Source organism: Homo sapiens, chromosome 2, assembly GCF_000001405.40.
Source record: "Homo sapiens chromosome 2, GRCh38.p14 Primary Assembly".
NCBI classification, from domain to species: Eukaryota; Metazoa; Chordata; class Mammalia; order Primates; family Hominidae; genus Homo; species Homo sapiens.
Window position 1 is genome coordinate 54,718,023 of NC_000002.12, and position 15,608 is coordinate 54,733,630.

The following is a 15,608-nucleotide window of genomic DNA, read 5'->3' on the forward strand; positions in this document are numbered from 1 at the left end:
TTCAGGATGTGTTTCATAAGATTTTCCTAAAAATAAAAACAGCAATTCCTTAATATCCTCTAGTATGCATTCTGCATTCAAACTTCCCTAACCACTGTTTTTCCCCACATTCTATTTAAAATGTGGGGGAAAAACAAAACAAAACCAGCAGGATCCGATCAGGATTCACACAGTGTTTTTCGTTGTTACATCTCTTTAGTCTCTTTTACTAAAGCAAGAATAATCCCTTGCTTTTTAGTTTTTTAGTTGTTGTTATTACATTTACCTTTTGATGAGGCTAGGTCATTTGTGTTATATACTGTCCTACCTTCTGGCTTTACCTGATTGTTTTCTTGTGATTTCAATTAACTCATTCATCTATGCCATTTTTTCTATAAACTGAAAGTTAGGTCTCAAGGCTTAATTAGACTTGGGTTAGATATTATTTGGTAAAAATGTTTTATGCAGCATTTTATACTCATCACATCAGGAGGCAGGAGGAGCAAGTTGTTCTGCCACTAACGACACTAAGTTTGAAAAGCTGAGATAGTGTCCTCCAGATCTCTTCATTTAAAGGTAAATAATCTGTGGGATGATTTTTTTTTTAGCTTATAGGAACACCCTTTCATCGGATTATTTCAGTATACAGTCGATCCTTGAACAACACAAGTTTGAACTGTGTGGGTCCACTTTATATGAGGAGTTTCATTCTGCCTCTGCCACTCCTGAGTTAGCAACATCAACTCCTCTTCCACCTCCTCCTCAGCCTACTCAACGTGAAGACGTTGAGGATGAAGACCTTTATAATGATCCACTTCCACTTAATGAATAGTAAATATATCTTTTCCTCCTTATGATTTTCTTTTCTTTTTCTGAGACGAGGCAAGGAGGAGCAAGTCACATCTTACATGGATGGTGGCAGGCAAAGAGAGCTTGTGCAGGGAACTTCTGTTTTTAAAACCATCAGATCTCGTGAGACTCATTCACTATCACGAGAACAGTGCAGGAAAGACCTACCCCCATCATTCAACCACCTCCCACCAGGTTTCTCCCACAACACATCAGAATTGTGGGAGTTACAATTCAAGATGAGATTTGGGTGGGGTCACAGCCAAACCATGTCACTGATATCTTAAATTCATGTTGTAACTAAGTTCTTCTCTAGCAGAGAATGTAAACTGTCTTCCAGATGGGGTTCTTCATCTATCTTTTGCATGTTATATACCTTTCTTTCAGGATTTTAGTTTGTGTTTGCTACGCCCTTTCTTTTCATCTTGCTCAGTTTGGATAGGGGCAGCTATTTCTAGATCATGTATCTATTCTGATATATTTTATATAAGTTATTGTTTACATCCTTCCCACTTTATCTAGGAATGAACTGATCTTCTCAGAGCTAAAATATGGTGGCTGACTACTGTTTCCCCCCCTCCCCACTTTTCTGTAGCCTAATATTGGAAAAGAGTAGAGCAGGAAAATGGGTGAAATCTACTGGGACTAAGTACAGCCTCCACTAAGAGACAAGGTTTTGCTCTTGCTTAAGGTACTATGAAATGACCAGTTCCAGGACGTATCCCATGCAGCCAAAGATATATCTCACACCTATGAATGTTGGATTATTCCTTTGACTCTGCATAGTACAACCATCATTCAACCATCTCCCTGATGATGGCAGGTCCTGGTGAAACTATTTTTGCTGAAGACCTAAAGTAATATGTAGGATCTTCTCTAACGTATGCCCCTTCTTCACCTCAGCCTCTAAAAATGTATACTTACATTTTACTTTTCCAAATTGGAGCATTTTTTGTGAGAATTTTCATGAGTTTTTCAACTTATCTTCTGTCCTTACTACTGTTTGTTGAATCTTTTTCCCTCTTATTATTTAGGAAACTTCAGGAAGTAAATTCTGAGACTTTGCTTTACTCAAGTATTACTTTCTCATCGTTTAATAATAAATGGATCTATGTCTTGGGTTGGGAGGTATGGGAGTAGTGGTTAATAACACTGGTTCTGTAGTTGGACAGACCTAAATTTGATTCTGGTTCTGCCACTTATTGAATAATCTTGGTTAAATTACTTATTTTCTGGGTCTCAGTTTCCTCACATTAAAATGAAGTTATCTACTCATAGGGTTGTTGTAAGGATTTAGAGAGATAAGGGATGTAAAGTGCCATTTATTTTTTTCCCACAGTTTAAGAATCCTCTATTTTTAGTTAGGTACATGGTTGCCCAGAATAAAAACTAGTTCCTAAATCTCCTTGCAGCTAGGTATGCCTACATAACTAAGTTCAGACCAATAGCATATAAACAGAAAAGACTTGGGGTAGCTTTTTCTTTTTTATTTTGAGATCTCACTCTGTTGCCCAGGCTATAGTCTAATGGCGTGGTAACAGCTCACTGCAGCCTCAATCTCCTGGGCTTAAGCAATTCCTTCCACCTCAGCCTCCTGAGTAGCTGGGACTACAGGCCTGTGCCACTACACCCAGCTATTTTTGTAGTTTTTGTAGAGAAGGAGTGTCACCAAAGCCCAGCCTGGTCTAGTACTCCTGGGCTCAAGCAGTCCTCCCGCCTTGGCCTCCCAAAGTGTTGGGATTACAGGTGTGAGGCACTGTGCCTGGCCTAGGGTAGCTTTTGAGCATCTTCCTTTTAAAGGCAGCCAGGATGTGCCCCATGACCCTTCTCTTCTTTGAAATGTACTTGAAATGTACGTTTGATGGCTAGTACTACATCTTGGACCATGAGGTCTAGGGACAGCAGAGCAGAATGCTGGCATGCTGCCAGTAGCCTGAGTACTCAAGGATTCCTTTAAGCAGAGCCATCATTCTAGGCCTGTACTACCTCCAGGTTTTTGTGAGAAATAAAATTCTATCAAGTTTAAATCATGGCTATTTTGGGTTTCATTTACAGGTGAACTTACTCTACCATCTAAACAATTTCTTTCATCATTCTTAGCATTTAAGAGCAGCGTCTGGAGTCAGACTGCCTGAGTTCAAATCCAGGCTTTGTCACTATTTTGTGCATTCCTGGGCAAGTTACTTAAACTTTCCTTACCTTCATTTCTTCATCTGTAAAATGAGGAAATAACAGTAACTACTTCATAGGATTATTACTGGGGTGAAGATCAAATTATCTGATACACGTAAAGCACCATTTATAGTGCCTGGAACATAGTAACTGCTATTCATTACAACAACATAATGTTATTATATTATGAGTTTTACTCATGCTTTTTAATACTGCTTATTTCCAAAGGACACTACCAGTCTTATTTGACACTTTCAAGTAGAGGTTACTATCTACTGCCATATAGTAATAATTAACATTTATCTAATGCTTTACAAATTAACTTTTCACGTATGTATTACTTTGTTTCATTCTTACAATTATCCTGTGGGGTGAGTACTGCTATACTTTATTAAATGAGGAGAGTAAAGATCAGAGGATTTAGTGATTTGCCTAAGGTTACAATTGTAAGTGGCTGACTCAGACTTACTCCTCCAACTCATTTAACAGTCTGGTACAGCATGGGGGTCATTAGTTATACTAAAGATAATTTAGGAAATGAATATGTTCCATCCATTTCTATTTAAGAGACTTCTTTTCAATACATTTGTACATTTTCTCTGGAAAGTGTCTCTTCCTTTCTAGACCACTGCCACTATCTCTAACGCAGCCTCAAGCACTACCCCAGACTTCTAATACCTCATGCTTTGATTACTGCTTTCATTGCTATTCCCTTATTTTTATTCAAAAAATCAATGACTCCATTATTTTAAGGATACAGCGCAAACCCCTATGCTGAGCTCCATCTACAATCTAACCTTTCATGTGTCCTCTTGATCTTATATGAATTCTCCCTTGCACCAAACTGGGTATTCTCTTTAGTGTTCTCTAAATCCACTTTTCTGCATCTACACTTTTGTTTATTCCCTAAACGCATGTAGAACGCTCTTTCAATTTATCTTTACTTATCTCAATTCTATCTATATTTCCTAGTTCCTCCATGAAACTTTTCCTGATGTATTTTATCTGGAAAAACTCTTCCTCTTCTGAATTCTTATATAGAACTTACTGGCCAGGCACAGTGGCTCATGCCTGTAATCCCAGCAATTTGGGAAGCCGAGGCGGGCAGAACACCTGAGGTCGGGAGTTGGAGACCAGCCTGGCCAACAGGGCGAAACCCTGTCTCTACTAAAAATACAAAAATTAGCTGGGCGTGGTGGTGCGTATCTGTAATCCCAGCTACACAGGAGGCTGAGGCAGGATAATCGTTTGAACCCAGGAGGCGGAGGTTGCAGTGAGCCAAGATCACGATATTCTAGCCTGGGCAACGGCCTGTTTTGTCTCAAAACAAAACAAAACAAAAAGAACAACAAAAACTTACTGTCTTTATATAATTCATTTGGCACTGTTTTATGGCACGACATCATTGATCAACTATATTTTTGCTTCTATCTCAAACCTTTCTCAGGCCGTGTTTTTGTTTTTGGCAGTGTTCTTGTTGCCTAGCACAGTGCCATCTCACTTATTTGTTGATTCTGTTTCCTTAAAAACAAAGATGAGACCAATTCAAATCCTCATTACTGCGGGCAGCAACAAATCATCCAAACTCTGGCACTTCCAGTTCTTTCGAGCTTTCCTACCAGGTCGGAGGGTTGTCTTAAAACTTGAGGGAGATGAACTGAGTAAGCGATTACACTGAAAGCATGGGAGGGAAAGGACGTTCCAAACGTCCAATCCATCATCCTTTTGCAGCCTCTTAGTCACTGGGATTTTGAAATCTCTTTCCAAAGACTAGCTATGGCCCTAAATTGGAAATAGGCTACTTGAGAACACAGTGGATTCATAGTTCATCTCGGGCAGTTTTAGGAGAAATGCCACCAGCTTCTGCGTTTGAAGGCCAAGGTTAGCTGTTCATGGCGTGAGCACCTTCCTGCTTCCAACCTCCGGTTATCTGTAAATACCCAAGTCCTCTAATTTAGGACGCAGGTCATGGGAAGACGCTGGTTCTTAGGGCAGAAGTGAGCTCACATTCCCAGCATTTTTCTTAAACTTGGCAGAACTGCACTTTAACAAATTAAAATCCATGTGAATGAAAAGGAAAACTTAAGTAGGAAACAAACTTAAGCTTGAGTCAGTTACAGCATGGTGAGGATGTCGGTTACAGCAACACTCAGAGACCGATGAAGGAGAAATTCCAGTGGTGGGCTGGGAGACCGTCTCCATTCCAACTCCACCGCTTTTCTCTACAGAGACCCACGCACGCCAGCTCCCGCCTCAGTCACAAGGGAACGCCCGCGTGGGCAGGCAATCGTCCTTGGTGAGCCGGGATCTCCTCACCCCGAGAGCCGCAGGCTCCGCTGACGCCGGTACAGGTCTCGCTGCGACTCCCTCTGGGCGCGCGGAATCCTGGGACTTGTGGTCCCTTCCGCGCGCTGTCCGCCCTAACCGGCGCAGAGAGGACTACACTTCCCAGGATGCGTCGGGGGAAGAGGCCACAGGGACAGGCAGAGGGAGGGGGCGGCCCCAGTCCTCCGGGGCGTCGCTGTTTCCAAGCGGCGAGATCTCGCCTAGTAACCGGCAGCTGAGGTTCACTAGCGCGGCGTTGTGGCCCCGCCCCCGGAGCCCCGGCTGGAGGAAGAACCTGTCTCCCGCGGCGCCCCAGTGACGAAGTCCATCCCCGGGTGCGGGAGGCGGGGAGGGGAGGGCAGGCAGAGGATTTCGCTCGCTCGCCCGCGCGGGATCCGGGACGCGCCGGTGGCGTCCGCTGGCAGCAGAGGTTAGAGGCAGAGAGCGCGCGGATGCTCCGCGGGCGAGGCTGGTTCGAGAGTGGGAGGAGTGCAGGGCGCCGCCAGGGCGGCAGTGCGCGCGGGCCGAACAGTCCTGAGGGCGGGCATCCCTCGCGCAGCGCGCCGACCCCCGGGACGTGTGCGTCTGTGGGGGGTTGCTGTCCCCCGGGTCCCTCGGGCGACCCCTCTCCACGCTGGGCTCAGGGCAGGACCCGGGATTCCGTGGGACCCGGTGTTTAGCGCAGAGGTTTCTGGGGAGAAGTACACGATTTTTGCCACTTGTTATTTGATTTCTCCTCGACCAGGAGCGTTTGTAGGTAGCGCACTCCCTCCGACTGCACTAGTGCCTCGTTTCTTCCGAGTAAGACAATCTTTCATGATGCGGATTGGAGTTGCTGATCAATGAGAGCTGCTAAGTTCTTTATGGCTTTCTCGGTGAAGAGAAGGTTCACGGAGGATATGATTATTAAACACACACATGAAAACTAATTGGAGCATCTAAAAAATGACCATTGCATATTCGCCCTCGCTTATTAGGGAAACAGCAAGCGTTCCTTCAAATCGCATCAGCAACTGCCAGGCAGCAGCATTTACGCATATTTCATATCATTAAGGAGATGGAACTGGAGAGAGAAAGCGGGAGTAGGGGACAATTTTTAAAAATACCCAACTTGGTTTAGTTTGGGGATAATTTTCTTGGATTGGGTGACTTATGCGAAAAATCTGTTTCTTTCTTCCTCGCTCTCGCTTCCTGGATATAGACTGTCAATTTCGGATCCAAAGACGGCGATGGCAGAGCTCACCCGGGTTGCCTGTCAAATCAAGGCTATCGCAGAATAAATCCCGCCGCCTGCCGCGAAGCCCCGGCGCACCGCAAACTTCAGTGAGCGAACTGGGTGATCGCTGTTGGGATATGCAGATTCCTGATGTAAAAGGCGGGGTGGCCCCCCCGAGAGCCTCTCCCGGGGGCCGGAGCCCGCAGGTGCAGTGAGGCGCGCGCGCCGGTGCCGGCGCCCCCAGAGCCGCCTTGCCCGGGTAGAGGGAGCCCGGCGCCCGGCGGGGTCTGGCGGCCGCACACCGGCGGCGGCGGCTTGTCTGCGGCGGCTGCAGCGGATGATGGTGGCGGCCGGCCCGCTGGGCTGTGCCTGTGTGTCGCCGCGGAAATCAGCGCCCTGCGCCGCGCGCTGAGCCCCTGCAGGTCCGCCGCAGCCCCAGCCTCGGCGAGGACGGCCCCGGCGCGCGGGGGGGCGGGGGGCGCGCGGGGTCGGCTTATCATGGCGGATCGGACGGCGCCCCGCTGCCAGCTCCGGCTGGAGTGGGTGTACGGGTACCGGGGTCACCAGTGCCGCAACAACCTGTACTACACGGCAGGCAAGGAGGTGGTCTACTTTGTGGCTGGGGTCGGGGTGGTTTACAACACCCGCGAGCACAGCCAAAAATTCTTCCTGGGACACAACGACGACATTATCAGGTAAGGGGGTGGCCAGGGGCGGCGGGGAGGGGTTGCGTGTGGAGGCTGGGAAGGTGGGAAGCGGTTGACCTGGGGTCGGATCCGGGAGCCCCGTGGAATAGAGGATTCTCTCTGGAGCCGCATGGAATTACTGAAGGGCTGCTGATTCTAGGGCCAGGGCAGAAACAGTGTGGGGAGTGTAGGTGAGGAGGGAGAGATGTCTTTTCGCTGTATCCCTCCGGAATTCTGGCTTTTAAATCTCCAAGGAGTTGAGTGTTCTGATGCTTTCTTGCTGTTCTTTCCTGCTACAAGTGGAAGGAGCCTGGGTAACTATGAAACACTTCTTCCTTCCCTAACCAGGTGCACGGTAGGACCAATAACCTGAAGTGTGGGCATCATCTTTGGGAGGCTCCTCAGTGGGTTTCTCAGTAAGCAAGAGGATTAAAAAAGATCTAAAAGAAATTTTACTACTGGTAATTTGGAATCTTCATCTCAGATGCTTTGGACCTGGGAAATTTCTGCAGTGGGTGGGGAGTTTGTTCTCTAATATTTCACTTGGCAGTGTTTTAATGCCCAAAGCATATTTATACACTAAATGGATGCTTCCACAGCATCATTGAGGTTATTAAAGGCTGGCAGCTGCTGGATCACAAAATCCTACCAGCCAGCCCACACAATGACCAACATCTGCTAGCGGATGGCCCAAGACTGACTGACAGGAGAGCTCATTTGGATGAATGGCCGTTTTAGGGGCCCTCCCGATTAAATGGAAAGGGGTTATATTGTGATTCTTGGCCCTATCCTCTCATCTTTGGACCAGACACATTTTCCTCCAGCCCTTGTCAGCTTTTATGTGAGCAAACAAGGTATGGGCCAGATGCTGTTCACAGGGAATCCTTTTCAGCCTTCAGCAGTTAAGGAAGATTTTCGTCATATGGGAGCCTCAGCCCACAGGGAAAATGACTTGCTGAGGATGGACTACAACTGACAGAGACCATATTTATACCTTCCAAACTTGTGTGTTTCATTGATGTAGAACAACTACCATTACATTCTCAGAATATTGCCACTTTTGCTCTAAGTTTGTCTTTCACAATGAAATAAATGAAGTGATGTCATGTCCATGCTCCTAATTTCTCAGTGCAGAGAATGATTTCAAAGATCAGCTTTTTTTTCCCTTCCTAATGATGTGCTTATATTCCAGAGCCTTTTTTTTTTCTGAGACCTAAAGTTGAAAAATTGTTACAGAAGGCAAGCACTTAATATTCAAACTACAGATTTTAAAAAATCTTGACTTTTTTTGAAGATGGGAGTGCTAATGTTCTCAAGATTTAGTGGAACTAGCATGTAAAACTTTTTTCATGTCACGTATGACACAAATAGCTTTTTTTCTTCCCTCCCTAACATGGTAGTTGTTGTGCTTGGGGCATCCTTACATAGTTTTGTTCTGCAGATTTTGCTTCTCTAATTGCTAGGCTGATTATGAAAGTTACAGGTGCAAATGATTAACAATGACTCATGAAAAGGTTAGATGTTTAAAAATTTAAACCCATTATGTTTTTGCTCTCTCTGTCTTAATGCAGTGCTTTCCATTACAGCATCAAAATAAGATGTAGTCCTTTGGGTGAAGGGAGAGAGTGGCAATTAAACAGAAAATTCTCTGTGGTTAAATAATATTAATGTGACAGTTCACTGAACTACTTTGTGGATTTGAACTCCTAATCCTAATTTTTTCTCTGATACAAGGAAAAAAACCAAATGCACTGTTGAAGCTGAAGGTGGGAAAAGGGTGGAGTTGCAGTAAACCGTTGTTATGACAAGCAGCCGGGCTAGTGGGATGTGATGAAATCTAGCTTGGGTGGTTAAGGAAACATTCAGATTTGAAGAAAAGGTGAATGAAGTGATGTGTATAACTGGGTTTGCAGGGAGCCTTAACTGATGAAGGGAAAAAGAGACAGTTAGCATCTGATCTATTCATTAAGCTACTTTAGTGACATAGTAGTAAGCCTGATTTCAGAGGAAGGACTGTATTCATAATTCTCCACAATATTTGGTTGGGTCAGAGTATGTATAGGTGAGCAGAGCAGAGCAGAGTTCCTTAACATCCAAATATGTCTTTGTACACAAGAATAAAATTAAGTTCAATGAATTAAGAAACACAAACCACAGATTATTATGGAATTAAGAGCTATGAAATTGGAATGTTTATGCTGTTCTTTTGCTTTGTCTTACATATGTAAATATCTTTTTCTGGTGAAGACACTGCACAAACCACAATGCACAATTTTTTGTCCTTATGAATTTTAATTCGTTTCTGTGTATCCCGGTTACTACTATTCTTCCACCTGAAATATTGAAGTTTGTTATTAAATGGAGAGGACTATAGCTAAGGTTCTAATGCAAAAGTGTTTTGGTTTTTTATTGAATCATTACATGAATATCAAAACTTGTTCGTTTCTAATTCTTGTTTCCATCAGGTGAGATAGCATAAGTAATTGTCCACTTGGTACATAGCTTTTGCATTAGTTTGAAAGATATATTCATATGCATACATCTATACTGCTTTATTTTTTGTGCTGTTTTGCCAAGAATATTAACTAGAAAGCAGCCCAACAAGTATTGATAACACACTCCATTTTATAAAACCATGTGATCTCCAAGATCATAATGAACCCTAATAATAATGTAGGTTTTGGCAGAGCTCATTAGGGCTCAGCATATGTGTCCTTCTGCTTTGACAGGCTATATGTCTAAGTCAGATTTTTAAAGATGTTGCTATGTGAGGCATAATATAATTTACTGAATGTGGAGGCTTAGTTTTATTCTCTTGAATATTACTTTTTAATTCAGATAACAGATTAGAAGATGATGCCATATTTTAGACCTGATAACATTGTGATAGAACAAGTGAATACTTAAAGTAATATTTGCTATTGGGCTAACAACAAGATGCAAATCAGGGCTTGATACCAAGGACAGTAATAGAGACTGGGATAATTACTAACTTGGTTTCTACTTTAGGTAGTAGAACATGACACAGAGAATGGGAGTAAATGAAAGAAAAGCCTGTGAACACATTCATCCTCTGTTACTTCCCTTCCATTTTCACAGTGATTCCAGTTGAGACATTTATCTCCTCACTCTGGACCACTATATGTATTGCTTCTGGCTAGTTCCCTGTCTCCAGGTTCTTCTGCCTCGTTTTCCGGCTCCCATTTGCAAAGGAGGTTTATGTACAATGCTGCTTTAGGGGAAAGGGCACTGACTTCGTTATCATGCACACTTGGGTATAAATCCCACTCTGCCATTTACCGGGGGTATCTGGGTGAGTGGCATCACTTTTCAGGGCCTTGTTTATTTGTGAAATGGGAATGACAATACCTAAACTGCAGAGTTGTAACTATTAGAAAAAAATGTATGCAAAGGGTTTAGTGTGGGGCCTGGCCCTTAGTTGGTGCTCAATAAATATTCTTAGTTGTGGTAGAAGTAGTATTTCACTAAACACACACACACCCCCAGAACAAAACAATGATTCATCATTGCTCACAGGCAGAAGTCCAGATTCCTAAGCTTTCTGTTCTCTCTCCTAACCTACCATCCTATCCTTATTTTCCTTTTTTAAAAAATCATAAATTCTTTGCTTCCCACTTGCCATATGATGACTCTGTTCTTCCCTGCCTCACAGTGGAATGATTCATCTTCCCCGCTGGCCCTTCTCTGTCTGTCCAGCCGCACCCCTCCAATGGCATAGCAGTGGGAGCTTGGACTTTGCTGTCAGTCATACTTGAGTTTGAACCTAGGACTGCCACCAGCTGGCGACTTTAATAAACCTCTTCGAATCTTAACTATCTCATCAGTGAAACAACTTTTCACTTATAAAATGGAGTTTTAAAGTATCTCCTTTGTAGTTTGTTGTGGGGATTACATACAAAAATGTTTGGCCAGTGGTAAGTGTGCAGCACCAGGGTCCTGTTTGCATCTGCATCCTGCAAAGCCCTATCTGCTGCAGTCTCACCTCTCCCATGAGACCTTGTACCATCCTCAGATGAAGGGGCACCTTGCACTTCCAAAACTTTGTGTGTTTTGTGACCGATGCTGCTCACTTAATATGTATCATTTAGGGCTATCGTTTCATTCTGTTTTCATTTGTAAGCGTATATAAGACTCTTGAGGCTGAGAGTGAATTTTATAACCAGAGCTAACATTTCCTGAGTGCCAAACTCAGAACTAAATGTGTATATCGATTGATCTGATCCACCCTCTCACAGTCCAGTGAGATAGGCACTGTTGCTAACCCCAGGCTACAGGGGAGGCAGCTGAGGCACAGAGAGGTTGAGGATCTTGCCTGTTGTCACTGTCTGGCAGACTGTGGAATGGGAATTGGAACCCAGATTGGTCTGATTCCAAAGCTGCAAGCTTTGGCTTCACTGCTTTATGGCCTCTTATATTGTGGTCCCTACAACTGTGCCTTCTTCCTAACCAGAAGGTAGTAGATTGTTGCTCTTTGTAACTTGCTTATCCTCTGTTGGTCTATAAACCGTTTGATTTATTCAAGAATATTTGAAGTAGATCATTAGAATTCTGCCTGGAAATGGGACCATGTTTAAGTTTGCTTTAGAAACATCCCCAGCTCGGCCAGGCTAATCCCAGCAATTTGGGAGGCTGAGGTGGGCAGATCACTTGAGCTTGGGGGTTCAGGACTAGCCTGGGTGGCATGGCAAAACCCCATCTCTACAGAAAATACAAGGGCTGGCTGGGCATGGTGGCAGGTGCCTGTGGTCCCTGATATTCCGGGACCTAGGGCCAGAGAATCTCTTTGGCCCAGGAGGCAGAGGTTGCAGTAAGCCCAGTTTGTGCTGTTGCACTCCAGCCTGGGCGACAAGAGTGAGGCCCTGTCTCAAGAAAAAAAAAAGAAAAGAAAAAATTTAAAAAAGAGAAATATCCACAGCTTTGGAACAATGACCTGAAACAATGATCTATTAGAGATTTTAATTAAAAAAAATTATTTTAGTCAAAATTGTGACATGGCTCAAATAATCTAGTGCTGCAAATACAATTGAACTTGTTGGATTTGAAGAGACAGGTCTAACAGCCATGATTGGGCCTGGAGTGTCAGGTAAGCAAGTTCACATGAAGGCCTAGAGATGTGACTTTATATTCTTTAGTCCCTTGACCAGTTTGAATAAGAGAAATATGGAGGTAACTACAAAGAATCAAATCCATATTAAGTTGAGTGCTTGCTCTGTACCAGACACTTCATGTATATGTCATCCTATTGAATTCTCCCACCCTCAACACTGAGAAATAGGTCTTCTCATTTTACACTGAGAAATGGCTCTGCGAGGGGAAGAGATTTAATCAGAGTTACTCAATGGTACCATCCTACTGCTCATTGGATCCCACTTACTCTGTGCATTGGAAAGAGCGCAAAGTGAAAGCTTTTGACGGAAGCTTATAATGATCTTCATAAATGATTGCATTATTGCTCTTCTTATTAATAAATTATAGTCTTGTGATTTTTATTAAGATTTGTTTATTCTCTAAGTTGGGTGTAATTTATTCTTTCATATTTGTTAATTCATCAAAAACTCATTTTACATCTATAATGTGCCAGATGCAGGGGGTATAGCAGTGAACATGACAAAGTTTCTGCCGCCTCGAAGCTTACTTTCTGATGGGGGACGCCAACAGTGAATGGACAAGAAAATAAGATGACTATAGATTGTGATAAGTGCTAAGAAGAAAAATAATCACAGAGAAACTGGGTTGAATGGGGGTATGGAAGCCACCTTAGGCAAGATTTCCAGAGCAGCTCTCTAGGGAGATGGCATTTAAGCAGAAACCTGAAGGGTGTGAAGGGGAAGACAGGTGAAGATGTAGTGGCAGAGAAGAGGTTATGTGCAAAAGTGCCAGGGTGGGAAGAAACTTAATGTGCCTAAAATTCTGGTACAGATAGCCAGAGAAAGACCAAGGTCATTGTAATTCTCATCCAGGTCATTAATGCCTCATGGGTTTTGGTACCATATGCCCTAGATTTCCCAGGACAGTCACAAATATTCCATTCAGTTATTGTTGTGGATACTTGTTCTTGTGACATCATGAATCTAATTTTTAATTCAGAAATATGAGTCCAGGCTCACTCCTGTCATCCCAGCACTTTGGGAGGCTGAGGTGGGAGGATCGTTTGAGCCTGGGAGTTAAGGACCAGCCTGGGCAGCATAGGGAGACCCCATTGCTACAAAAAATTAAAAAATTTAGCCAGGCATGGTGGCGTGTGCCTATGGTCTCAGCTACTTGGGAGCCTGGAAGGTCAAGACTGCAATGTGCTGTGATCACACCATTGCACTCCAGCCTGGGTGACAGGGCAAGACCCTGTCAAAAAAAATATATATATATATGACTGTGTTTTGTTTTGGAAAATGTGGTTGCCACATAATGGGTCACTGCTTGAAAACATTGCGCTGAACTATACTATCTTATAAAGAATTGTATCAGTCCCACCAACCCCATCAATCAGTCATTTGGATGACACTGTGATAGGTGAAAAACTGTTCACATGGCAGCAGCCCTAATTAGGCAACACTATCCTGCAGCCTCTCCTATCCTCAAGGTGTGGATCTGAACACCTTTTTGAAGCACTGTGAAATTGTTTTCCACAACAGCCACACCATTTTAGCATCCCACCAGCAATGTATGAGAGATCCAATTCCTCCACATCGTCAAGATTTACTACTGTCTGTCTTTTTTTTACTATTGCCAGGCTGCTGGGTGTGAAATGATATCTCATTGTGGTTTTAATTTTCATTTCCTTCATGACTAATGATATTGATGATCTTTTCATAAACTTACTAGCCATTTGTATATCTTCTTTGGATAAATGTCTATTCAAATCTATTACCCATTTTTAATCAGTTTGTCTTTTTATTGTTGAGTTCTAAGAGTTTTTTTACATATTCTGGGTATGAGTCCCTTATATATTATTTGCAGACTTTTTTCCCATTCAGTGAGTTGTCCTATTCACTGTCTTGGTGGTACCCTTGGAAGTACAAAAGTTTTTCATTTTGATGATGTCCAATTTATTAATTTTTTCTTTTTTATGCTTTTGATGTCATATCTAGGCAACCATCACCTAATCCAAGGTCATCAAGATTTACTCCTATGTTTTCTTCTAAGAGTTTTATAGTTTTAGCTCTTACATTTAGGTAGATGATCTGTTTTGAGTTAATTTTTATATATGGTGTGAGGTAGGGGTCCAACTTTATTCTCTTGCATGTGGATATCTGGTTGTCCCAACATCGTTTGTTGAAAAGACTACTTTTTCTCCATGAAATTATCTTAGATGCCCACAGCCTTTGAATTCAGCCAGTAGGGGACTAACTTCTCCCATGTAGAAGATGCTGAATGTTTGGGGATCCAGAAATGGAAATAATCATTAAAGAGGTTAACCTAGAAGAAATAGAAACCATAGGCTTTGGTTGCTATTCTGTATTTGTAAAGATGCTGTTTGAGCTAATGAGTGACATATAGATTTTTATATATTTATAAAGTAAACTATAACTTAAATAGTGAGTGCAGTGTTTAGTAACTGCTGGTTTAGTGACCAACAACAGTCTATACATTGGATTTGTTTACTCCCAAAGGTTTTTGCTTTTTAAAAATGATTTTATAAGCATCAGCCTTGCTGCTGGACACAGGTCTGTTGAGCCAGCTGAGGAGGTGAGTGGTATGGAAAGCAGGGGGAGTTGTAACAGAGGGTGCTCTTTGACCTCTACTCTTTTATCAGTTCATTCCTTTCTTCCCCTAAAGGGAGGTAGGCATCTGGATGACCTCAACTAGAATTTGAAGGATTCTGGGATTGTCCACTGGTTTGCTGCCTGCCACTCCCTTTCCCATTAACACAAAGGAGGGGAGCAGCAGGCCAGCCTACCTCCCGGGGATGAAAGGAGCTCTCTCTGGACTGGTAATACCTTAATAGGCTGGTCAGAGAATTTTTCTAAGGCTATGGAGAATTATTTTAAGGCATGAGCCTTCATTTTTAGTTTAACTGCTGTTTAATAATGCCAGGAAAACATTTTTCTGTGTTACGAGTTGATTTTATGGATAGGAATAAAACAAGACTCACAAATGACAAGATGTCTTCTAAGTAAGGGATCATCAGTTGCAAGAAACTTTTTCAAAGAAGTACAGTTGAGAAGATTACAAGGTGACAAGAAAACCTTTTGGAACTCAATTACAGGGAGTGTGGCTGGTCTCTTAGGCACTGCACAGTATCACGCAGCTATTCTTTCTCTAATTATTTCTCTTGGAAGTGTCCCTGTGCATCACAGGGATTCACGTCTCTGCTTCTCTCTGGACAATACAGGCTTTTATTTTCTCTGGCTGCTTAACTCAAG

General features: G+C 43.1%; 1 protein-coding gene across 9 annotated transcripts in view, besides 3 other annotated features; it reads left to right on the plus strand.

Moving 5' to 3' along the window:
- Positions 5,173–5,392: an enhancer, noted in NCBI's record as "active region_15769". NCBI's record gives its function as "activates an Ori minimal core promoter by ATAC-STARR-seq in GM12878 lymphoblastoid cells {active_cell/tissue: GM12878}" and the evidence as "EXISTENCE:reporter gene assay evidence [ECO:0000049][PMID:35858748]".
- The window catches only part of EML6 (EMAP like 6), a 248,474-nt gene continuing 238,395 nt past the window's right edge, over positions 5,530–15,608 (plus strand). For 7 of the 9 annotated variants that reach the window (XR_001738743.2, XM_047444299.1, NM_001039753.4 and 4 more), the window contains exons 1-2: positions 5,640–5,755; positions 6,527–7,236. Coding sequence is in view for 7 of the 9 variants with exons in the window: in XM_047444299.1 (XP_047300255.1) it covers positions 7,040–7,236 (197 nt within the window). In the remaining 2 variants the exon portion in view is untranslated. Of the gene's footprint in view, positions 5,756–6,526; positions 7,237–15,608 lie in introns of all 9 variants that reach the window. The other 2 variants (XM_017004098.3, XM_047444315.1) reach the window with 2 other exon arrangements.
- Positions 5,533–6,022: a silencer, noted in NCBI's record as "silent region_11491". NCBI's record gives its function as "represses an Ori minimal core promoter by ATAC-STARR-seq in GM12878 lymphoblastoid cells {active_cell/tissue: GM12878}" and the evidence as "EXISTENCE:reporter gene assay evidence [ECO:0000049][PMID:35858748]".
- Positions 6,694–6,843: a silencer, noted in NCBI's record as "silent region_11492". NCBI's record gives its function as "represses an Ori minimal core promoter by ATAC-STARR-seq in GM12878 lymphoblastoid cells {active_cell/tissue: GM12878}" and the evidence as "EXISTENCE:reporter gene assay evidence [ECO:0000049][PMID:35858748]".